Source organism: Homo sapiens, chromosome 1 (assembly GCF_000001405.40).
Source record: "Homo sapiens chromosome 1, GRCh38.p14 Primary Assembly".
In the NCBI taxonomy this organism is placed as follows: domain Eukaryota; kingdom Metazoa; phylum Chordata; class Mammalia; order Primates; family Hominidae; genus Homo; species Homo sapiens.
The window spans coordinates 199056281-199083024 of NC_000001.11; the positions used below are offsets into that span (position 1 = coordinate 199056281).

At 32.8% G+C, this 26744-nt stretch overlaps 1 long non-coding RNA gene across 1 annotated transcript in view; it reads left to right on the forward strand.

Moving 5' to 3' along the window:
- Positions 1–20455, forward strand: part of LINC01221 (long intergenic non-protein coding RNA 1221) — a 60603-nt gene extending 40148 nt beyond the window's left edge. Inside the window, exon 3 of the long non-coding RNA NR_126351.1 lies at positions 20244–20455. This is a non-coding gene — a long non-coding RNA (long intergenic non-protein coding RNA 1221). The remainder of the gene's footprint in view (positions 1–20243) is intronic.
- The last annotated feature ends 6289 nt before the right edge of the window (positions 20456–26744 follow it).

Sequence of the window (26744 nt, forward strand, 5' to 3'; positions counted from 1 at the left end):
ATAGGAGTGTGTGTGTGTGTGTGTGTGCGTGTGCACGTGCGCGTGTGTGTATCCAGTGGTTAATCAGAGATGGCAAGATCAGGTTAGCTACACATTGGCTGGTTGCATATCTCTGGTGTCACTCAATCCCAGAAAGTGTCTCACATCATAAGAAAGCATTTACGGTCGGGCGCGGTGGCTCACGCCTGTAATCCCAGCACTTTGGGAGGCCGAGGCGGGCAGATCACGAGGTCAGGAGATCGAGACCATCCTGGCTAACACGGTGAAACCCCGTCTCTACTAAAAATACAAAAAATTAGCCGGGCGTGGTAGCGGGTGCCTGTAGTCCCAGCTACTCAGGAGGCTGAGGCAGGAGAATGGCGTGAACCCGGGAGGCGGAGCTTGCAGTGAGCCGAGATCGCGCCACTGCACTCCAGCCTGGGCGACAGAGCGAGACTCCGTCTCAAAAAAAAAAAAAAAAAAAAAAAAGAAAGCATTTATATAGAGAATACTGACTACAGGAAGTTTTTTCTGCATTTCTTGTGTCAAGGTGTCCTTTCTACATCAAGGCGGGTGGGGAGCAACCCCTGTGTTTCTCATGTCTTACTGAATTAACTTCCTGTTAGTTTTTTGTTTCACACCATGAAATTATTTGTTGAGTGCCTACAATCTGTAGAATACTATGCTGGGTGCTAGAGCCTGTGCTGCATTGCATCCTCTACCACTTAGTACAGTATCTAGCACATGACTCAAAAGGTATTTAAAAAGTGTAAATGAATAAGTGATAAAACAAGAAGTTTGACCGAAGGAATAGACACATTCTTTAAATTGTGAATTATCTAATTATGTGTCCTGATATCTAGATTTGGAAAATGATTGTTCTGGAACTGATGGTAATAAATGACTTGGACTTCAAAAGAGCCTGAAGAGAGCTGCATACATCTTTTGCAGTCCTTGTCTGCATGCCACAGGGAGAAAGGCTGTGCTTTATGTGGAAATCTCAATTTCTTATATATCAGAATGTTCTTTTGCTAAGGCGGGGCAGAGACCCAAACTACCGGGATCATGACAACCATTAGTTCTTTCTGAATTTCTGTACTAGTTAAGCATCTTGATTTAACACAATAAAGATCTATTTCTTGCTCCTCTCAGAGTCCAGTGAAGGTAACTGGGGTAAAAGGCTCTCTGTGCACTGCTAGCCCAGGCTTCTTTCATATGTCTCTCTCCTAAAGCCTCAAAGTTCTCAGTGGAATCCTCTGCACCTGGCTGAGTAAATGATCAAAGAAAGAGAGTATGAAACGCAGCATGAGTGGGTCTAAAAGTCAGGTCTGGAAATGGGGAACATCATTTCTACTCATACTCCATTGGCTCACTTACCTGCAAAGACTCTGAGAAATGAGTCCTGCAGTGTGCCCAGGAAGAAGAGAAACACTGGTGAGCACATTCTCTGCTGCAATTGGCAACACTCCCAGGTAGAACTCTGCTTTTATAATAACTACTAAATCTTCATGCTGTTAAGGAGTTTATTTTGTTAATATTTATTTGTCACTACCAAACTTAGAAAGAAAAAGGAGAGTAAAGAGTAACTAGAAAAATATCTACAAACTGTCTATTGTCAGACAATAACTGATTTTTCTCTTTCCCAGCGAAGTAAACATTGGTCCTGAGTCTTTAGGAAGGAGATGGAAATTAGAGTTATAGAAATTATTGGAAGGAATTTTTCCACAAGTTAATAGTGAGGGAAAAATAACTTAAAGTAATGTATTTATAGTTAATTATAAATGTAAATATAATTAATCATAAATATGAGTATCTGCATGTGAATACATGTGTTTCCTCCCAAGAGCTGCATACTTCTTGGGTTACTTAAGGAGTAAAAGCATACTGGGTATTTTCCAGATTAGAAACCAGCAGCTGGAGTAGGAGCATCAACTCCCACTCAAAAACAGTTCTTTATTCCCTTCCATTCTAGTGAAAACCCTCCCCCAACTTCTAACATTTCTCTTTGAATTCTTTTTTCTTTTTTTTCTTTTTTTTTTTTCCCATGGAAGGAAAATTGTGTCTTCTGGAAGCATTCTCACGGGTTAGAGTAACAGCCAAAATTTCTCACTGCTGCCTTCTGTAGGCCCTTGAAATCTCCAAGACAAGCAAAGCCAACAGTGAAGGTTTTTGTTTGTTTGTTTGTTTATGGCTCAGTGATCTCATCTTTTCTTTGATCAGGACATGGTGACAGTGGGACTTTGAGAAGTACTAAGCTATGAGGACGCAAGGGCATAAGAATAATACAATGGACTCTGAAGACTTGGGGGGAATGGTGGGAGGGGTCGAGGGATAAAAGACTACAAATAGGGTGCAGTGTGTACTGCTTGGGTGATGGGTGCACCAAAATCTCACAAATCACCACTAAAGAACTTACTCGTGTAACCAGACACCACCTGTACCCCAATAACCTATGGGAAAAAAGTACAGGTTGTATTGAAAGTTTTCTAGGCATCTGGACAGCTAGAAGACAATTAGGTAGAATGTCACCTGCAAACAAATCAACTGAACATTTACTTAATATACATCTGCCTTTATAAAGGGTACCTTGTAAATTGCATAGCTTTATTCTAAAATGGTATGGTTCATGTGCAGGAATTTTATCTTATGCTTTATTTTAACATGTATTATTTTTCCCAATAGATTTCCAGATCTCCCACGTATTATAATTTGGTCTATAAAAATAAGATATTTTAATATCAAAAATGATTCAAATAATTTTTTAAATTAGTTTGAAATGTATTTATTTCCTTTTTCTTCTTTCAGTTATACCAACTTTTAAGTTTTAACTGAAATATAATTCAATATAGAAGAAAAGGATTATATTAAGTAGTGTTCATTTATACAAGTGTTTTCCTACAGTTGAAGTTGAGAAAGACTGTTAACACTTGATACTCCAGTAAAAACCTGAACATCTCTCTTAGATAAATTCTATTGCATTGTTTTATTATCCTGTTACTCTGAAATCATCTTACTACAAAAATTAATGCATTAGATATACACATTAAGCATATTATAAATACTTAATAGTAACCTTTTATAAATATAATCAATGAAATGAAAATAGCTATTACATAATATAAAATAAATTTATAGTTTACTTAATATAAAACAATTACAAATTAGTTATTAATTTCCCTACAGAAAAACCATTTTATCACTTTGTACTTTAATAGTTTAAATGGCTCATCTATTTACATGACATTAAAAATAATAACTATGTAAAAAGTTATGAATTATTAAGAATTTATCACATTCATTCATTAATCAACTATTGATAGGCTATTTGGTTTCAAGTATTATACAGTTATAATTTAGAAAATGACACGTTGATAATTATAACGTAGTATACTTGTACACTTGTACTTTACAGTTTTGAGAGAATTTTCACCTCCAGTATTTTACTGGAGTCTCAGAATAACCAAGTGAATTTCAAAAAAAAAAAAAAAAAAAGTCTGGGACCAAAATCTATGATCCTTTCCTCTAGTACGTCAGTCTAACTCTCTATTGAAAACCCCCAAATGTTGAGAAAATCCCATGGAAATAATATCCCAACTAGATGATAATATTATTTAGGCCATACTTTCTTTAAATTTTCTGCAGGATAAAAAGTTCTATACACTTGGGAAAGGATAGGACTACATAATGTAACCCTTAGGAGCTAGGTTTCAGTTAATTGCAAAGTCTATTTTCTACTGTTTTCTACATGGTGTCATAGAAGTTTTATCTGGTTAAAAAAATGGGAAAAATGATTTAAGAGTGCATTTACTGCCTCAACATTCATAGCACGCAGGAGTGGAAATAACACTAAGCTTGAAGTCAATCGACTTGGATTTGAATCCTCTTAAACACTTGCCAGCTCTGATATTGGGCAAGTCACCTAACCAGAGTTTCCAACCTCTGCGGAAAAGATTGTTGCTCTTAATAATAATGATGATGGCAATGATTATGATAGTTTTGTATTTATTGAGCACTTCCACTCAGAAGTCATTTGTCTTGATGTTTAAAATAAATACCATTGATTAAAACCTATTTCACAGTAATTTTGAGAGTATGTCTATCATATACTTATGTAATGTATGTTGACATACATACATCTAGTGTTACGAGATCTGAAGGTGTAGTTTTAAAATAAAACATTGGTTACTAAAGTTGATATGGAGACAGAAAAGACCCAGAACAGCCAACACAATATTGAAGGAGAAGAACAAAGTTGGAGGACTGACACTACCCAACTCCAACACTTACTATAAAGCCATTATAATCAAAGCAGTGTGATATTGATGGAAAAATAGACAAATAGATCAATGGAACAGAATAAAAAGCCCAGAAACAGACTCATATTTATATAGTCAACTGACCTTCAACAAAGGAGCAAAAGCAACATAATGGAGAAAAAATAATCTGTTCAACAAATGGTGTCCAACAATTGGACATCTACACAGAAATGATTAAATCTAGACACAGACCTTACACCCTTCATAAAAATTAACTCAAAGTGGATCATACACCTAAATGTAAAATTCAAAACTATGAAACTTTTAGAATATAACAGGAGAAAATCTACATGATGTTGGGTATAGCAATGACTTTACAGATATAATATCAAAAGCAGAATCCATGAAAGAAATAATTGATAAGTTGGACTCCACTGAAATTAAAATTTTCTGTTCTCCAGAAGACACTGTCAAGAGAATGAGAAGATTTCTTACAGTTTGGGAGAAAATATTTGCAAAAGACATATCCAAAAGAAACATTGACTTTTTTTTCCTAATAAAAGATGGTTATCTAAAATATACAAATAAATCTCAAAATGCAACAATCAAAAATGAACAGCTAGATTAAAAAATGGGCAAAAAAACCTGAACAGACACCTCACCAAAGAAAATATACACATGGAAAATAAGCATATGAAAAGATGCTCAACATCATATATCATCAGTAATTTTAAAATTAAAACAACAATGAGATATTATACACATCTAATAGAATTGGAATGGCAAAAATCCTAAACACTGATAACACCAAATATTGGTGAGGACATGAAGCAACAGACATTGATTGCTGGTGAGAGTGCAAAATGGTACAGTCACTTTAGAAGACAGTTTGGGAGTTTCTTACAAAACTCAACACACTCTTACCATATGACCCAGCAATCATGCTCCTTGGTATTTACCCAAATGAACTGAAAATGTATGTCCACATAAAAACCTGTATATGGATGCTTATAGCAGCTTTATTCATAATTACCAAAAGTTGGAAGGAAGCAAGATGCCCTTCAGGAGGTCAATGGACACATATCCTTTGATTCAGACAGTGGAATATTGTTCAGTGCTAAAATGAAATGACATATGAAGCCATCTAAAAAGACACAAAGGAACATTAGATGCATATTACCAAGGTAAAGAAGCTAATCTGAAAAGGCTGTGTACTATATAATTCCAGCTATATGACATTCTGAAAAAGGCAAAGTTATGTAAACAGTGAAAAGATCAACAGTAGTCAGAAATTAGGGTAGAGGGAAGGATGAATAGGTGGAGTACAAAGGATTTTTAGGTCAGTGAAACTATTCCGTATAATACTATAATGGTGGATGCATACATACTGTTATATATATATGTTAAAACCAATAGAATGTACAATACCGACAGTGAACCCCAACATAATGACATTGGGTAATAATGATGTGTGAATGTAGGCTCATTGATGGTAACAAATATACTGCTCTGGTGCAAGATGTTAATAGTGGTAGGGACCGTGCATATGTGCTGAGGGTATACAGGAACTGTGCATTTTCTGCAAAGGTTTGCTGTAATTCTAAAACTGTTTTGAAAAATAAAATCCATTTAAAAATTAAAATAAAATAAAATTTTTAAAAAGTGTTGACAATATGATTGAAGTCATTTTTAAGTGTTTTAAATTTGTTGGTTATATTAAATCTTTTCCCCCATGTCTGCTCAGTGTATAAATTCACATATCATTGCCTTTCCTTTCTGATTTGTCACACTCCCCCTATACATTTCTTACACTCTTCTTCTCTCATTTACTTCACGATGCCTGAGGCATATGTAGAATTGTAGTCTGTGGTTCAAGTTAGGAAAGGTACTAGATTTCATTGGAAAGTACTTACTTCCATTCTTCCTTCCCCATTTCAAGGCCTTGTTTGATAAATTATCAATCAGTCTTTTATAGAATTATAATTCCCAGTAGGCAAAATGGAAGTTATATTATTAGGAGACAATGTACAGGTAGGACCCTTGAGTTATCTCTGAGCCAACTTACTGCCTGATTTATACATCACTAAAAGATCATAATGTCAATCCAAATTTAGTTTCAATGTCAATGCCAACTTTAGTTTTCTTCTCAGTATCAATATTAGAAGAAAGAAATGGTTTTCTCTTTTAAAGCTTTAATCAAACAAATTTAAAAGACACCATATTTTGGAGAATTTAGAATACTTTTTGCTATATGATTTATAGATGGATTTTTTAAATGTTTTATTAATTTAACACATTTTTATTGATGCTCTGCCATTTGCTAAAATCTGGGGATATGGTGAAGCACAAGAGAGACAAGTTTCCTGCTTTTGTGGAACATGTTTTCTGGTATGAAAGAAAAATAAAAAGCATGGAAACACAAGAGTACACAAATAATGACAATATAATGAACACTTGGAAAGAAAGATATCAAATAATCAAGAGAATCCAATTAGATGGTATGATTAGGGAAAATAGGTCAGAGAAGGTAACATTTGGACTGAGACCAGTAGAATTAAAATGAGCACACCAAATAGAAACTGTGGTAATGGGCATTCTTGGAAAAGAAAAATGATACCCTGGTGCAAAAACAGTTTGCATGAAAAAACACAAAGTGGCCCAGTGTACCTGAAACAGAATGAGCAAAGGAAGAATTCATGTAGTGAAATCAAGGAAATAGAATGGAGTCATCAAAAACCTTACAAACCATAGGAAAACTTAAGATTTAATCTAGCACATTAGGAATTCATTGAAGGATTTTACATGAAGGAGTAGTATGATCTGATGTATGTCTTAAAATGTTTATACTGGTGGTTGTATTTGAAATAAGGATAAACAATGGACTACTAAAAAACAATTAGTAGACTACCACATCGGTCGAAGGGAGAACTAATCAAGACTTGGACTAGAGAAGTGATAGTGGAAATAGAAAGAATTGAATGTATTTAAAATATCTGTTGGAAATAAAGTGAATAGGATGTGTTGCAGATTAGATGTTGGGGGTATGGAAAGGAAATTATCAGATAAAACAACTAGGTATTTGTCAAGTAGGCAGTTGGATATGAGTCTGGTTTGGGCACAAGGTTGTCCACATAGAGATCTGTGGTTCATAGTGAACACTGCATTGCCATCCTGGAATGTTTGGAAATTGTATGTGGGCATTACTTAGACGTCACAATGATTTGGGGGGTTCTATTGACATTTGGCTGTCAGTGGCTGAGAATGCTAGATGACCAGCCGTGGTGTACAAAAATTTGGAAAAACAAATTATCGGCCCATGTCCTACACAATATTTCAATGTTCTCTCCAACTGAATACCTTGTAAAGATAAATTGGTAGTAGTTAATTGCATGATAATTCTTTTTTATTCAGCAAGCAGTTACATAAGAAGCCCAATAACTTATAAAAAAGATAGTTAAGGAGAAGGAAAGCAAATATATTGTCTTAAAATCATGAAATAAATTTGTGTACTCTGTTTATCTGTCTCGTACTTGATGTATTCTTGCATTTCCAACCATATATTTAGTGGTAACACATTTCAGTGCTGTAATGCAGCTATTAAAAATCAGTAGTTTTAGTGCTGTAATGTAGCCCTGATGTAACAGATGAAACCCCTTGCAACAGACTCAGAACCAAATGTTAATTAAAATAGTGCAGATGTATTAAGGAATGTCATTAATAAAACTTTAAAAAGATATATCACTGCCAAGATAAGAAATGACTAAAGTGAAAATAACATGGAAATGTTATATTTGTCTTGGGGCTGCCTATTGTTTCTCAGACGTTCTGTCCCCAGAGGTGTAACACAACTTCTCTATATCCTCTTATATTTCTGCTTCTCTTTCTATCTATACTCTAGTCCCTGTTGCCCATTGAAGTAGAGTCCTGTGTCTCCTTAAGTACCAGAGACTAAATGTAGGCTTCCATTTGTGGTAGAATTTTAAGAGAGAAAGTATGTTTGAAATTTTGAGATACTTTATCACTACTTCATACCATGCAATAACATAGGAATTATTTTGGTACTAAGAAAAAAGTTCCTTAAGAGAATATCAAACTTTCTTATTGGTTCCACTTCAACGGTCTGAAATTTACCTTGGCCACTTTTCTTATTCCCATTATAGTTATTTTCTTCCCATATACAATTGAATTGTATTTATTATAACATTCTAAACTAGATTTTATTCTCAAGCCCATTTCTACCTCTCTGCACCTTTTTTTATATTTGTTTGCTTCTTGTATATAATGGCTTTTGATTGTCTCACTTATACATTCATTATAAATAGGTACAAACATTACCTATGGGTATGTCTACTAATAAAGACATTTCTAAAAATTTACATGTTAAATCATATTATTTTATTGTAAATTAATTTCCTTTTATTTTTTCTTTGAGTTAGGCTGCTATATTGACTTTTTTTCTAATCATGTCTCTAAGTAATTTACAGTATTTGTAAATTTTATGTGGGGATAGTAAAGATGGCAGTGTAATAAAATATTTTATATAACAGAAGGCCTTAGATCCAATAGGAATGAGATCCACTGATATAAGTATTATTTTAGCCAGCCAACTAGATGAGATCATCCAGGAAATGGCATAGCCAGAAAGGAGGAGGGGGCATGGCACTTGGCTCTAAGTTACTCTAACATGTAGGTTGTGGGTAGAAGAAGAGAGGCAAAAGTGAGGAGCAGGAGTAGCTAGTGACGAAAGAAAGAAACAGAAGATATTGGCATCATGGAAGCCAACAGAGAGAAGTATTTCAGAAAAGAAATGGGATCTCCTTTGTTAAAGGCTGCTGAAACTTTAAAGATAGAGACAGAGTAAAGTCCTTAGCATTTGGCAAAATGGTAGCTATTGATGACATTAAGAGGAGTTTCAGTGGAAAAGTGGGAAAGTAAGGTTGTAGTAAGTTAACAGTTAATTGGAGGTAAAAGCTGAGAATTTTTTTTCTTACAATGAAAATAAGAATTGTATGTAGTGAGGATTTCAGAACAGAAGAAGTATCTTTTATGAGAGATATTACAGGAGATTAACAAGAAAAATGATTAAATTTTAACAGCAGAGTCTTCTGATTCTTTTGATTACACATTTAGCTTATAAAAGTATATTTGTTATAAACAGTATAATAACAAAAATATTTAAGATAGTAAAATTTTAAATCCTGGTAAAATAGGCACGAATATCAAAATAGTTGATGAGAAGCTTGAAATTGAAATAAGAAAAAAAATCCCTGGCACATAGCGGGTACTCAGAGTATATTTTTAAATGAATAAATAGATTATTTGTAAAAGACTGATATATTGCTGTTCTTTGGAAAGGGGTGTAAATAAAAACATTAGCTTATGTTAGGTGTTCCTAGACTTTCTGTTGGGGCTATATTTAACTTTACTACTTAAAAGAAAGAACACTAAGTCCTCTTTTTTTTTCTCTCTCTCTCTTCAAAGAACCAGTAAGTACTTGATGGGTATTTTATTAGTGATCTATGTAAACACCATAGCTTAAATATTAAAACATTACATAGAAAATCATCTGTCTATTTAAAACTGAAAGTGAGAAAAATATCTAATGACATTTGTTTTGAAGCACTTCACTAAGATTTTAGGTGAAATATTTTAAGTTCTTGTCATAACAATGCAAAATATACAATTTTAGTGGATTTTTTGCTCAATGTAATTTTCACTTTAGGCAGAATGACTCAAAATACACTGATAAAATTGTCTTTCCTAACAAGGCAATTGCTGTTGATCATCATAGTGCAGCCTCAGGGAAGATGGCTTTTTAAGATATATGTGTGCTTGAAGTTATTTTAATAGGTAATGTCAATGTAAGCTTGGAAAATGGAGGCTACACTGAAAATTGGTTGAAGATGGGGAGTCCTCTAAATATGCTTTTGTCATACTTTGGAGACAATAATGCAAAAGCTAACATAGTAGTGGGCTACGTTAAATGTATGTGAACAGAAAGTCTTCCCCTGAACAGTAATTCACAAGTCACTTTTCCCAAATACCAAGTAGTTTATCAGCAAATGGCTTTAGTTAGGTCACACTGAAACACTTGGGCCTGTTTTAAATTACGTCACTTGTCATGGCCTCCTAATATCCACCATTGGTTGGGTGATCAGTAGTAGTAGGAGAGAGAGGTATAGAGGGTGAGAATCAACCAAAATTAAGGACTCTGATGAAATTGAACATATTACAATTCTATGATCTTTTAATATGTATTGCACTGAAGGTCTTTCAATCCAAATTATAGAATCTGTTCACCATATGCTGCACACTCTCTGGAATTCTCCACATGGAAACAACCAATTTATTTCTAAGAGAAATTTGACTTAGACTATTTTTGGGCAGATTTTGCAGTGTTTTTGTGTGTTTAGTCCAACGAAATTGTTAAAGCTATAATTATTTTTATGGAGAAGGCTAACTACCCAAACACAGGAAAAAATAATTTTCTCAAAGCCTATTTGAAAACTATAATGAAAAAGTTAAATATTTTATGATAAAATAATAATAATTCTCATCCTACTATGTGTAGATCCTACAATAATAACTCAATTTTTTTCTTTGCTAAAATTGCCACACTTAAAAGCATTTCTGAAAACACGTACCATCTTTTCTAACACTGGCATTTCAAATGTCTCTTTTCCATCCATGGGATCACAGGCATGCCATCCATCACTGGATACTCCTTGATCTTAAGAAGTTTTCTCTCTCGTGCTCTCTCTCTCTCTCTCTCTATTTGACTATTTCACTAAGGAGTACTATGCTCTAGCATATAATGTACTACATCTTTAAAATTTCTTAATTTCATGATTTCACATGATTTAAAACACATTAGTTCCTTTTTTTAGTTTTTTAAGTTTCAATTTTCTGTAGCTTATGTTCATTTATAATGAGTGATAGCTGTATTTACAAACACTCTAGAGACTATAATCCATTATATTTAGAATGGTAAATTATTTATACATCTATTCTGGAGAGTATTTTGATTTTTCTTTAAATAATCATTTTTTTCTGAAATAGAAAGCATATTATCTTCTGTTGCTATGCTATTGTTTCAGTTTATGTTTAGATTTTCAATTTCAGTCTTCATGATATTTTTGGTGGTGAAGGGTTTCAGTTTTGAAAAAGTGATGAGGTAATGTCTTTATTTTTTAATCAGCGTCTCCTCCATTCCACTCTTTTCGATGTTTCTGCCTCCTTGAATAGTCCTTGATAAAATGAAACTTTAATCATCATTCAGTTTGTAGTTTTTCCTAACAAACACTACCTTTTTAAATTAAATGTTATATGCACTTTGCAAATCCAAGCTTATGTAATATTTGGAAAGACTTAGAAATCATCTGTCCAATCTCCTCAGTTAGTGGATGGGAAAAGTAAGCTTCCCTCAAATCCTAAGGTGAAATGATTGCTTCAAGATCATAAAACTGGCTAACACATAGGGTATTTCTCAAAATTAATTTCCAAAAAGATTATATGTTTCATTAACTAAAAAAAAATCCCTGAACATTTGTTCAATAAAACAAAAACATTTTAAACAAAATGAAAGTCAATTCATTACAGATGCATAAACTATTAAGAAAATAAAATTATTTCAAACATTTATATAAACACATAAGCTTGACATTTTCATTTTAATTAATAATTTCAACATTCTTGTCTTTCTAAAAGTTTACAGGAGCATTTGACTAGTTGCGTTCTTAAAAATGCTTTTGGCTACTTTTGCAGCCAAATCATTACCTAACCACCTCTACTTCAGCCATGATCAGGTGAATAATCTTTGTACACTTGGACTGCATTTTGAAGGTATGTTTATACTGAGTTGTCATGTTACAGGATACAGATAACAGGTCCATATGAAACTCAGAATAGTACTTTAATAGATATGCTACTTGCTATAAACAAGTAGCTTTAAATTGAGATAGATTTTTTTTGCCTTACAGTCAATCAAGAAAAAAAATTATATAGGTACTCACCACTTAATTTGGTCTAAAAAAAGAATAAATTTTCAGGCACTGTCTGTATTATAAAGTTCCATTGCTACCTCTTTATTTCCATGTAACATGTTAATCATTTTGTTCTGGGTTTGAAATAGATTCTTTAGTATGTAAATATTTCAAGCCTTGGTATAGCATTTCAGAAATGCTCTCAAATGTAGAATTTCACAGATCACTAAAAAGCTGTGATTTAATTTTTACAAATAGTGCAACATAAATTTAATTCATCTGGGTGCTGGGTGGCTTAGTGCATGCTTATCTAGTTATAGTATTTGGTGAGTAGCAATGTGAATTTTATCAAGTAAATGATCTTCGGGTTGCAGAATGGTCTCCGTTATGGAAGCAACATAAATCTGATAGCTGCATAGACTAAGGGCAGAACCAACAATGAAATATACATATTAATCCCTGAATCATTTTCTGAAATAAAATGTTAGAGTGTTTTATCTTTAATCATAACTGGGAAATTTTAATATATTAAGTTCAATGGACAACAAGTGAATGCAGAAATAGCAAGCTATATTACAGGTGTGTTTTTAACAGTCAACAGTTTGGAAGGAAAACAGGAAACCCTTACTGCTGGTCTACTGTTGATGTATGTCATTATTTTTACAAACAAGGAAGACTGTAGCTAGTTTATTTGACCTATTGTCTAGGTAAGACCACATGTCTTAACTGCTCCATTCGAAATTTCTCCCAAAGAAGATATTGCTTTGTCTCACGCAACTCTTCACATTATACCATGTCAATCTGATGGCTTGATTTATTGTATTTCTCACCACTCTTATTTTTGCTATCTAGTTTTACAGAAATACAATTATCATTTAAATTATAGATTTATTGCCTAAACACTGGAAAATAAATTTAAAGCCATTAAAAACACAGAAGCAAAAACTGTATTATTTAACAGTAGTTAAAAATCCTTAGTTGGATATATTGACTGCATCTTGCCACTCGGAACTTTCTGTAAAAGGTTAAAAAAATTAACTTTAAAATGTTCCTACCAACTTCTTCAGTTGCATTTGGACATTTGTTAAAAAAAGAAACTAGGGTTTTTTTCCCCCTTTTTAAAACAGCAACTTTGATAAAGCAGATAAAAGTGAATGCTAGGTTGTTTATCAAGTGCGTATTTTAAAATCTTAGCTTTGTTTATCTATAGTAGTTTCTTTGGAGACCATTATAAGAAGTGGCTACCCAATGCACTTTAATCTTTCTAGTTTGTGATATGGTTTAACTGGATGTAAGATTAAGCTATATCATTCTAGCTTTACATCAGTAAATACCTGGTAAGAATTAGCCTTGTACATAAATAGCTTAGAATTTAACCCTTTCTATATAATGTTACTTCAAAACTGTGATGGGTTTTTCCACATATCAAATGTAAAATATAATGAGTAATTTAGGCTTGTTTAGCTTAATTTCTAATCATAGATATTTAAAAATATATGAAGGACTAAACTTTGACAGCTAGCAATTTTAACTATCAGAAAATTGTAACATACATTTTACATTTCTGCTTCCTTGATTTATTGATTCATTTCTTCAAATAGCCATTCTCAAACGCAGGTAGCTTAACTGACCTTTCAAAGGCCAGCATTTATGCTGTATAATTAAGCTTGCAGACTAGATACTTTGTTCTGAATGTGACTATAATGCTATGAGCTTAACCAGTAAGCTCTTCGAGAGTTAGAAAGAGCTCCAATAATCAGCATCCCTCCCAATTCAGAATATTACATCCTATAAAAAGATTATTTATTATCTGTATGTACACTGAATATATCTATCTCAGCTTTCACATAAGAACCTTTGGAGTAAAGTAATCTAATAGATTTATTATGCCCATCCTAAATATTTATTCAAGGTTCAACAATCCTGATTCTTTTAAACTTTTCTCTATTGCATTTTTTTTCTAGGATATCTTCATTCTGGTTATACTTCTCCAGATAAATGATAGTTCAGAATTATGTTTCAAAACGCTTTAGAGGAGATTATGTTGTAGAAAAAATGTATTATTTGTTATATTCCCTTAGCGATGGAATATAACTCTTCCTTTAATTGAACAGTATGTTAAAGTAATTGAATTTTCTCATTAATATTCCTATTGAACCATATGTTAAAGTAATTGAATTTTTTCATTAATAATTCTATTGTATAAGAAAACATCGTTCCTATAACACTTAAATTCCAGTGTGGCAATACACTGACAAATAATGTGACACATCAAAGAATAATGTGAAAACAAAATGTATATCTTTGATGTCACTCATTCAAGATAATACATTGAAAGCATAGAATGGTGAACAAGATCATCCAAATCATTTAAATTTTATTTTTCTATTCCATGAAAACTTTGAATAAGACCCCCAAAAATATCTGAATGTATATTTCATATCAAATATGACACCTTGAGGAGCTGTTATTGCAACAACGCACTCAATGTTTAAAACAAAATCAAAATGCCTCAATGTAAGTGTAGTCCTTCTCCTACTTTAGTGAGGTACCTTATATTTTCTATATCTCTCTCCAATAAATTTATTCTCCTACTACTTCCCCCAGATCTCTGAAAAATAGGACATATTAACCCCTTATTTTTCCTCAAGGCCCTGTCAAACGATCACGCCAACATAATAACAATTTTTAAAAAGGACTCCCTTTTAATATGTACACCTTTTTGAATATACACTTATGTATCTTACACCATCATTTCATTATTTGCATTACATCATCATTTCTTTAATTATTTGCATAGTATTTATCTTAACATCTAATTAATTGTTTTACCTCTAACCTTGTCTGTGCTCTGACAACAATTTTAAATGTTAAATATACCTGTTAAATACCAGAGGGATGAAGATGATGAATTAAATACAACCTGTTTTTATATTCCTGTCAAGAATCCCACTAAGATAAAAATAAGGGGATTTTTCAATGTGAACACATATAGGACAAAGATAAGTAGAGTAGACACCATCACAACTGTACTTTGGGAGACAGAAAGCATATGAACAGATAGTAACTGATTTAGCAATCTGGGAAAGACTGAACTCTTAACTCATGGCAAAAATCCAAGAAACAACCTTATCTATACATAGAATACCATTAAAAAATTAACAATTTGTAGTGCCAGTTTTCTGATGGAAATGAGGGCAAGGTGGATTAAAACAAGGATGAGTAGTTGGAAACTTTAAGCAACAGTTAAAACCATACACCCATTAGGATGGCTAAAATTATAAACATGGATAATAACAGGTGTTGACAAGGATGTGGAGTACCTATAAAATGGTCCAATCACTTTGAAAAACTGATAGTTTCTTAGAAATGTAATCTTACACATCTAGTATTTATGGAATGGAAACAAAAGCATATGTCCACATAAATATTTATAAACAAATGTTCACAACAGCTTCATTTGAAATGGTCAAAAATTAGAAACACCTCAAGAGTCCACTTATAGTTAAATGAATAAAATAAAGGACGTACATTTATACCATGGAATAATATTCAGTAATAAAAGAAGCAAATCATTGTAAGCACAACAACATGGATAAGTCTCAAAATCATTATTCTGAAAGAAGCAAGACACAAAAGATTACAAGCTGTATTACATTTATATAAATTGCAAAATTGTCTATAGTAGTTGCCTGGGGTAAGGACTAAAGTAAGAATTGACTTCAAGGGATGTGAGGAATATTTTGCGGGTGATGGATATATTCTGTATATTGATTGTGGTTGTGTGGTCATGAGCAAATATACTATCAAAATTTATTGGGTTGTATACTTTCAATAGAAGATTTATTGCATGCCTGTTATTCCTCAATAAAATCAATGAGTAAAAAAGCAATTTAAAAAAGAACAAAGAAACAATGAGAACCTCAGGTCTTCTCAATCATTGCATACCTCCAAAGGATTTATTTTATTTTGTACCAAAAAAAGACTGGAGGTGGGCAAGATAGGTTTCTAATCTGGGAGACATTTGAAGGTAGGGGATTCTGTTGAACATAGGATAATTAAATTAACATTTATAATACTGAATATTGATCCCCTAGCTCTCTCCCCAACATGTCTTCCAGAAATGACAGCAGCCAAGATTATAACCTCTAGGCTATTGAAAGATCATTATATGGAGAATCTACTTAGCCAAGAGAAAAAACATAAATACACTTTTTTTTAAGACAGTGGCATAACCTATAGCGAAGATTACAGTTACAAGCTTCATTTGGGGGCTCAATATTCCAAGGCAACTTTTAAATGCCCTACTTTTAAATATTAGCAGACACCCAAGGATCACCAGCCATCTGTGAACTTCCAAGTTAAAAAAAAAAGGATCAAAATATACAGAGAAAAAATAAGAAATTTTGGAAATTGGGACTATGCATGAAAAAAGAATTTTATTGATATGCTTAGAGAAATAAGACATTTTTATGAAAAAAGAATTCAGCAAAATTTTAAAAAATTCTATTGCAATATCCAAATATAAAGGTGAGAAAATCTCCTTCAAAGCACAGAAATATAAAATTAAAACAGAAGAAAGGAAAATTAAGTGAAAAGAATATAAGAAAATGAAAGAAAAACTAAAGGAAGTATAACATCCAGGTAACAGAAGTGCCAGAGAGAGAATAATAAAAACTGAAGAGAGAAAACTATCAACTAAATAACTGAGACTATTTCTTACAATTGAAGGACTTGGGTTGTGAGAGTAAAAGCCCCACTCTGCGCTCAGCAAAATAGACTCAGCAAAATGGACCCATATCAAGGTACATCAACATGAAACTGTAGAACCCTGAGGGCAAAGATAAGATTTTATGACTTCCAGGGAGGGAACAAAAATGAATCACATGAAAAGTCTCAGGAGTTAGAAAGGCTTCAGGCTGTTTATGAACAACACTGGAAACTACAGACAATGAAGCATTGTCTACAAGATTTTAAGGGAAAATTATTTAAAACCTAGGGTTTGATACTCAGCCAAATCATAAATCAGTACTATGGTAGAGATGTTCAATGTTTGTAAAATAATCTACTAGGTAATTTTATCAAGAAACTACCCTAAATGAGCTTCATTAAAATAAGGTTATGTACCAACAAAGATGGAAGCATGGAATATAGAAAATATAGAAAAAGTAAAGAGCATCTTTCGGGTCATGGCAACATGAAAATTCCACAAAGATAGATGTATAGCAGGCATAAAGGAAAATCAGTCCAGAATGGGGCAGGTTAGAAGTCCTCAGAAGAGATGTCTTCAAAAGATATATTTTATCAATTAAATGTTGCATTTTAAAACGAGATTTTGACAATCGGTGAAAAGCTTAGATTTGACTTAGTGTTAAGTACATGATAAAAAAAAAAGTATGCAAAAATCAGGTAATTTTTAACTCCAGAGGGTGAAGAATTTGATTAAGAAAGGAGAAATAGTTTTAGTATGCAAAATAGCTTAGAATAGCATTTACATACACATAATTGTGTAAACATGGATGTAATAAAACTTATAACTATATTGATAACATGGGGAAGATTGAGTGTGAGTGTGTGTGTGTGTGTGTGTGTGTGTGTGAAAGAGAGAGAAAAAGAGAAAGAGAGATGCAGAGAGAAAAAGAAAAGAGGTATACATTTGTGGTAAGAGCTGAGTGTATGAGAGTAAAACAGTGCTAAACCTCATTTCTTTATAGGAGAAAATAAGTAGAGAATACCTAAGAATTGAACAAAAAGTCAAGACATAACAATATAATTCTGATATTTGAAGTATGGAGGTAAATGCCAAAAAAAATCAGCTAAAAAGTTGAAAATAGTTGCCTCTATAGACAGGCAAATTAGAGAGAGAGGGCACAATGAATTCTCTATTTTGTTATAAGAAAAAACTACTTGACTCTTCTAGCTTTGCATGTGCATATATAAGGATAAAGATTAAAACAAAACCACATTAAAAATATAAAAAATAAAAGCTATTATCCTAGTGTGATGGTTAATACTGAGTGTCAACTTGATTGGATTGAAGGATGCAATGTATTGATCCTGGGTGTGTCTGTAAGGGTATTTCCAAAAGAGATTAACATTTGAGTCAGTGGGCTGGGAAAGGCAGACCCACCGTTAATCTGGGTGGGCACCATCTACTCAGCTGCCAGTGCAGCTAGAATATAAAGCAGGCAGAAAAACAAGCCTACATCTTTCTCCCATGCTGGATGTTTCCTGCCTTCAAACATCAGACTCCCAGTTCTTCAGTTTTGGGACTCAGACTGGCTGTCCTTGCTTCTCAGCTCCTCCTATATATATATAATAGGAGATATATTAGTTCTGTCCCTCCAGAGAACCCTGACTAATACATCTGGCTTCAGAATTCCTCAGTCATGTACATTATTATGTTATATTATGTATTATGTCCATTATTATATTATAATGTTCTTTATCTCTAGCCACACATCATCATATAGTCATGTTTTGTCATTACAATCAACTTGTATCATCTGATGAAAAGAAATGTATTTTTAATGTTTTGATTCTAGATCTAAATTCAAGATCAGCATTCTAGCTTTTTGTCATGTATTAATTTCTAATATCTGAACTTACTATTTTCTCTTCATTAGGATGTATAATATTTCCTATTTTTAACACTACAATTTCCTGTACTTCAGAGCTTTTCTGTCTTCTCTTGACCAACTTATCACTCTAAACTACATATTCAGCCACTCACTGTAACTTCTCTAACAGCTAAGGATCCCTTAATTGCTTGAATGTTCTCTATTGTAAATCTCTAATTTCTTCATAGCTACATCCTTGCCAGGTTCCAAAAGGTCTTCAGAGAAGTCTGGACTCCTATGCTAACTTATGTTGATTGCCTACTCTATTGTATAGTCCTCAAAGTATTAATTTTACCTGTCTTTCTAATATTCAGCTAATTTTTCCATGTGGTTTAAATTTATCAACTTTCCTCCTTTTCTTCATAAAGTATCCCTAATGTTTCATTATTCTTTATGCAATAAAATATCACATATCTTATCTCATACATACAAAGTAGAGAAAGAAATACCTTTCTCCCTTTCTCTATTTTTAACTAGGTCAGGTCCTTTTGTACTGTGTAGTAGGCCGAGTTCTAATACACCATCCCCTGAAATCCCAAGATTCCTGGTCCCTGGTGTACACACATTTTCTCTCAGTTATTCAATCAAATACTAATCTCGGTATCTCTGTGAAGGGGTTTTGCTGATATAATTAAAAGTCTTAGGTTTTAATCAATTGACATTAAGATTATCCTTGTGGGCCTGACCTCATCACATAGCTACTTTAAAAGCAGAGAGGTTCCTCCAGATAGTTGCAAAAGAGCATTTCAGAGATTCAAAGCACCATTGCTTGCTTAAAGATGGAGGAGGACACATGGCCAGAAGTGCAGTGGCCTCTTGGAAACTGGACCAGGCCCTGGCTAATAACCAACGAGGAAATGAGGACATCACCCGGAAGGAACTGAACTCAGCCAAGAACAGGAATGGGCTTGGAGGCTGTTTGTGCCCAAGACCCTGAAGATAAGAAGTCAGTCCAGCTGAAATCTTGATTTCAGCTTTGTGATACTTTGAGCAAGGAGCCCCACCACATTATTCCAGACTTCTGACCTATAGAAAGGTGCTAATAAATGGGGAATGATTTTTTTACTTGCTACATCTGTGAGAATTTGTTCCACAGCAAAAAAAAACTAATACTGCAAAATTCAATTCTCTCTACTTGATTCTGAAACTTTCTCTATCAACTAGCGCTTGTTTTGTGTGTGCATGTTTAAATTCTATCCTATCCTATCCTATCCTGTCCTATCCTATCAGTCTATTATTCTGCCTCCTAATTTTAATACCAATCTTCTTGCAAAAATAAGCTACAGCTACTATCTATATTTTCTCCTTAATTCTGAAGAATACAGAGCCAATGTCCTGTGGAGCATGAATGATGTTTTAATTGACAAATCCTGTTAACTTTGTTCACCCTTTCTGTTTCTCCACAGTGTTGATTACTGGCAGGCTTCTCTGGTCATCTTTCTCCCTCCACTTCTATCAACATGGAGTTTTGTACTCAGCAAAATAAAAATCTTTCAAAACTGAGCACCAAAACAAAACAAAACAAAAGATATTTTTATATTAAAAAACCGAGAGACTTTGTTGGTAGCAAATTAAAACTACAATAAATGGTTAAATGAAGGAATATGGTATCAATTGGAAATGTGGATTTCCACAAAGGAATTGAGGACATTTGATATTATAAAAATGTAGGTAAGTATAAAAGAAGTTTATTTTTCTTATTTTTGAAAACATTAAGTAATAATTGACTTTTTAAATCAAAACTAGTAACAATGTATTGAGGAGTTTACAATATGGAGAAAAGGAGTAGCAAAAGACTATTGTAAGATTCCTAGAATGTATGTGAAGTAGAGTATTATTATTTGATTGTACGCTGTGATAAGTTAAAGATGTAGAGAGTAAATCTTAGAGCAATTACCAAAATATGATATAAGACAAATAAATAGTGGAGACAAAATTGAATAATAAAAAAACTATTAAATTATTTCAAATTGTTCTCTTCAAGAGACCAAAAAAAAAAAAAAAAAAAAAAAAAAAGAGAGAGAGAGATGGGACAAATGGAAACCAACCAGGAAGATAAGAGATTTAAACTCAAACATTTTAATAATTACATTAGATGCATTTACATTCAGTTGAAAGACAGATATTGTCATAGTGGATTAAAAAATCTAGGCCTGGTGCAGTGGTTCACACCTGTAATCCCAGCACTTTGGGAGGCCGAGGTGGGCAGATCACAGGATTGAAACCATCCTGGTCAACAAGGTGAAATCCTGTCTCTACTAAAAATACAAAAATTAGGTGGGTGTGGCGGCGCGTGCCTGTAATCCCAGCTACTCGGGAGGCTGAGGCAGAAGAATTGCTTGAACCTGGGAGGTGGAGGTTGCAGTCAGCCAAGATCGTGCCACTGAACTCCAGCCTGGTGACAGAGCTAAACTCCGTCTCAAAAAAAAAATATATATATATAATGTAATATATATATATGTATGTATATATCTATTCATATATATCATATATTTATTTATTATATATATTATATATATTTATATATTATATATACACATCTCCTGTTGGAAATTCATTTTAATATAAACATATAGAAAGGTTAAATGGATCAAAAAAGCTATGCAATGCTAATACCAAATACAAGAAAGATGGAATTCCTATTTTAATATCCAACAAAGTAGATTTCAGAGCAAAACATACTACCAATGGCAATCAGGCATATTACATACTGATAAAAACATCAATCCATCGAACAGATATAACTACCCTAATGTGTATGTAACTGTTAACTTAAAGACATACAAAATAAAAACTGAAAGGAGAAATAGACAAATCCACAATTATGGTTGTAGGGCACACTCTTTTCTGAATAATTGATATAAGATGGGGGGAAAAGGCAGTAAAGTTAAATATATATACCACCATTACCAACTGGACATGAATGAAATTTGTTGAACACTCTACCCAATAACAGCAGAACACACATTCTTTGAGGTACATGTTGATCAAATACCAATATAGATCATATTCTGAACCATAAAGCAAACATCAATAAATTTAAAAGATTTGAAACTATACAAAGTATGCTCTTTGGGTATCATATTTGGAAATTAAACAACAAATTTGTAAGTAACTTATTGGTCAAAAAAATCACAAGGGAAATCAGAAAATGTTTTGAACTGAATAAATATGAAAATACAACCTATCACAATTCTTAGGACAAAGCTAAATTGGGGAAATGTGTAGTATTAAATGCTGAACAATTACTAGAATAACAAAAACAAAAAAAGTGCTGGCGGGAACACAGAACAACTACACTTTGCAAACTTTTTAACAGTTTCTTATAAATTAAAACTTTTACTTATCTAGATATTTCCAATCCTAAATATTTACCAAATAGAAATAAAAATATATTTCCAGTCGAAAATATTTAAGCAAATTTTCAGAGCAACATCTTTCATAATAATCCCCAACTGAAAAAAACACACAAATTTCACTCCTAGATATTTACCAAAACAATTCCACTCTTACATATTTACCAAAGAGAAATACAACTATGCGTCTAGACAAAGATCTATAAGCAATTCTTCACAGCAACTGTACTCATGGTAACCCCAAGTTTTGTCCGTGGGTGTGTAAATAAACAAATTTTGGCATATCCACACAAGGGAATACTAATCAGCAATGAGATATAAACCTATTAATACATGTTACAACACGGGTGGGTCTCAAAAGCATTATGCTAAGAAAAAAAAACAAAAAGCTACATGCAGTGTGCTTTCATTTATATGATCTTCTGGAAAAATCTAATTGGTAGGAAACTCTACAAACAGAAAACAGATCGGTTGTCCATAGTGAGGGTAGAACAGGGTATTTATTGGATAATACAATGTTTGGGATAATAGAAATGTTCTGTATCTTGATTGCGGTAAACATTGGTCAAAGCTAATTGAACTGCATATTTTTTAAAAGATAAATTTTGATGCATATGAATTACATCTGAATAAACTTCACTTTTAAGATGTTCTAATATATTCAGAAAGTTTCTTTCCACTTTTATAGATTGAGTCAATTTCTGTGACCTTATCAACATAATACTCTGCTCTGTCTAAATTTCTTACTAGTATTAGAAATACAGGATCTTTTCTTTTCAACTTTTACTATAGTTTCAGGAAATGAAAATGTTCAGAAAATTGTTTCTCCTAGATTTTCTCAAGAGGGGTAACAGTGCTGTTGAAAGTGTCATATGCCAGCATTATTACTGTTATTGGACAAGGCGTCATATAAAACCTATGCTTTTGTCTTTCGATTTCTACTTTCCAACATGGTATTTTTGTGACATCAGACATCTGTAGGGTTTACTGGCACCTCATTTTTCAATGTGATTTCAACATATGACCATCCCATTTCAACTTCCCAATTTGGAAGAATACCATTGCATTTTATTACAAAAAAAAAAAAAAAAAGAAAAGAAAACGAGAAATTCCAGAAGAAAATGGGTTTTTTATCAGGATATTATGAGTGCTGGTAATTAATTTCCTCAGTGAAAAGGATGAGCCCTTAGGAATACAATGATAAAAGAATATTATTCATCTTCTTCCTGCAAGCTAACAAGCAAATCAGTATCATTAGTGTTTTTGAAAGATTAACTTCTCACCTAAAAACATGCTTAGGGATACTGAACATTTGGTATCACTAATTTTCTTGAGCGCATGTAATAGCCTTTTAAAAATATTTGCTAATAAAATGAAGTTCACTCCTCACTTAAATTTCAGCTTAAGCCACTCCCTCTTTTAAATATTACACAATTCATTCAATTTTATAGTCTTAAAATTATTTCTTATTCAATTTTCTGTCACTCTTAGCTCATAACATATTCATTTAAATGTAAAAAATTAGTTCTAACTTTATTTGATTACCTTTTAGGTAGTGATATTGAGTTGAACTAATTCTACATTTTTTAATATACCTAGTGATCTAGTGCTGCCTTTTGTTTATGGAATGTTGATCATTGTGATTTTTAAAATGATCATTATCTGGATCAGATGGCCTAAAACTAAAAGTATCCCCATTTAACCTTTCTTATTTGCCAAATCAGCAGAACTCAAATACATTGTCTTCATATAAACCAGATTTTCATTAGTGTTTACCTGTCAAATTTCCATCTATTTTTTGATACAAGACTCTTGCTCATTTCAATTATTTGTATGCTCAGAGGCCTCATCATTCTGTCTTTAACACCAGTCACACATTTTCCCTATTACATTGTAGAAATCTGAAAATAACCAACGCATGTTGCTGAGTTCTCAGATCAATTGCCTCCTTGTTTTGAATATTCAGTTTATGGTTAAACTGCTGCATTTCAATATCACATGCAAATAACCATTTTATCAACATTTAAAAATCCTCAGTGATTGACTCACGTCTCTTTTCATCACTTTACTGCAAGAAAGGAGTTGAGCATAAGTAACCTTCTTGCATTAACCTCAGTCACTATATCATGAAGACTTAAACAGAACTGAAATCTGCAATACAGGAAATAGATGATTAATTAAAGATAATTTCTGTCATTAATTAAGCCATTCTTTACATAGTGGCAGAAAACATGGTATTTTCCTGCCTCTTCATAACATTCATTATTTTCTGTTCTCTAGAATTTTTAGCTTTGAACTCTTCTTGTGCAAGTACAGGTGTGTGGATGATAAATGTAGAGTGATTCTGAACTTACCAATACAACTAGTCTAGGCGTCATCTTACTCCTCAGGATTAGAACTACTTGAAATCTGAGAAACACGTACAGCCTCCGTGGCTGGTTCATTTTGATTGCAGCCGAATTTTTCCCTCCTGCCCCTTCATCATTCTCACTCTAAGTGTGTGGTAGTCTCTGATGTCACTGAGATTTTGTCTTCTGAACACCAAATCAAGCCTTTGCACACTTTTCCATACTCTCAGATTGATTTTAAAACAAATATATGAAAAGGAAGTGAACCCAAGGCATCCAAAGTATTGGTGGTTTTCATTTCTTCCAACTACTATATTGTATTTCTTTTCCTTTTTTTTTTCACATAGTTACTTTGAGCTTGTACTTAGTGGACATTTTTCTAGACATCTCCTGGAAAAAGTTATTTGTTCATTATTTTAACATGTATAGATTCTCAATTCATTGCACTTTTCAAAATGAAGCTATACATTTGCTGTGAATTTTAAAACTTGTATGCATTTGACATTTCTTCCACAGTCTTTAAATTTTATAATCCGATTTTGAAACAAGCTCCAATTTTTGTTTATTATTTTGTGCATTGAAATAGATCATAACATTCCCTTTTAAATAGATTCAGAGAATAAGCCATTGCCACTCTATTGTTAATCTCCAGAATTCTTCTTCTCATATTTGATGACATACTTATGTAGAAAGCATGATGCAGCCCACAAAACATTTTAAATGGTTTCAGACTAGTGAGAAAATAAGATAATGGACAAATAAAAATAAAGAACCAGGAAGTAAGGGAGAATTTGTTAGTAGTAGTAAAATGAGTATTCAGACCAGAGAAAGAGTTTAGCTACCAAATTCTTATCCCTCTTGTCATTTTACCAACCTTTCTGAAACCCTTGAAAATGACTTTGTTTCAGGATTTTAGTTTATTCTTTAAAAAAGTCTATCCACATGTGTATGCAAGTCATGAGAAACAGCTTCACTATGACAGCCACCAGATGACTAAAACTACCCTTTATAATCTACTGAGATTCACTGTCTACAATCTCAAAGGCAAAATGTGGACATAACTCATAACCCTTTTCACTAACCACATTTTAATAATAGAAGCCTACAGCAATTAGTGGCACCAAATTAGTAGGAGGAATAACCAGAAAACAGTCAGCAAAGCATACCTAACAATTTCAAACCCACTCCCAAGCTATTTTTAAAATGTTTACAAGTAATAAGACTCCCAGTTTCACCACACTTGACAAAACTCAAGACTAAATGTTTCAATTTCCATTTACAAATAAGTATTAAGAGATAATAATATAGCAATGTTGTTAAATGGGTAAGATTTCAGGTAGATCTTCAATAAAAGCACTGGAGAATTTAACTAGGAGATAACTACCACTTTTAGGATTCTTTCATTTTAAGGGATACCATATGTAGCATCTATGTCTTGGGCCTGAGGACTGGTGCTTTTCTGAGGATGACACCAATAGTTAAGTTTTCTGAAAAGTCCTTGTTTATGTGTTCTAGAAAGTCATACCTTGAATTTTCATGTTTTTCCCTCAACATTCTGCCAACTATTTTCCAATTTCAAATTCAATCTCTCTTTGTAAATTTACATAGTCACTCTTTCCTTACCCTATGTCTTGGGAGTATCTTTGATTCATAATAATTCTAGTATCTCTTTTTTTTTGACATTTGAAGTCAACTTTCCTCTTTCATTTCTGATACTCATAGCTTTTGTTTTATGTTTCTTATATGATATTTATCTATCTGTCTATTACTTTGGGCAATTTGTTTAACCTTTCTGAGTTTTTTATTTGCTGAAAATCAGCTTAGTAATTAGATTAAAGGTATGACAACAATTAAGAGGCTAAATGACATAATGTACTGAAAAGCACCAAGCAGAAACTTGGATATGTATATTGCAAGCCAATCTATAGTTTCTGAGTTTCTTCTTTTCTCATTTTCTTTTATTTTTTCTTAATTAGAATATTCTCTTTTGCTACGCATAATTTAAATTTATTTTTTTACTTATACAAAACAGAATCATATCATTCCTGTTTTATATTTATCATATTTCTTTATATGTCTATGACATCATTGTTTTACCTCCAACAACCAGGAATTCCAAGACACTAGCGTATTTAAAACAGGCTTGATCATCATAGCCAGGGCTGGTCAGTGGCCACAGCCTCAGCTCCAACTGCTTCAAAAG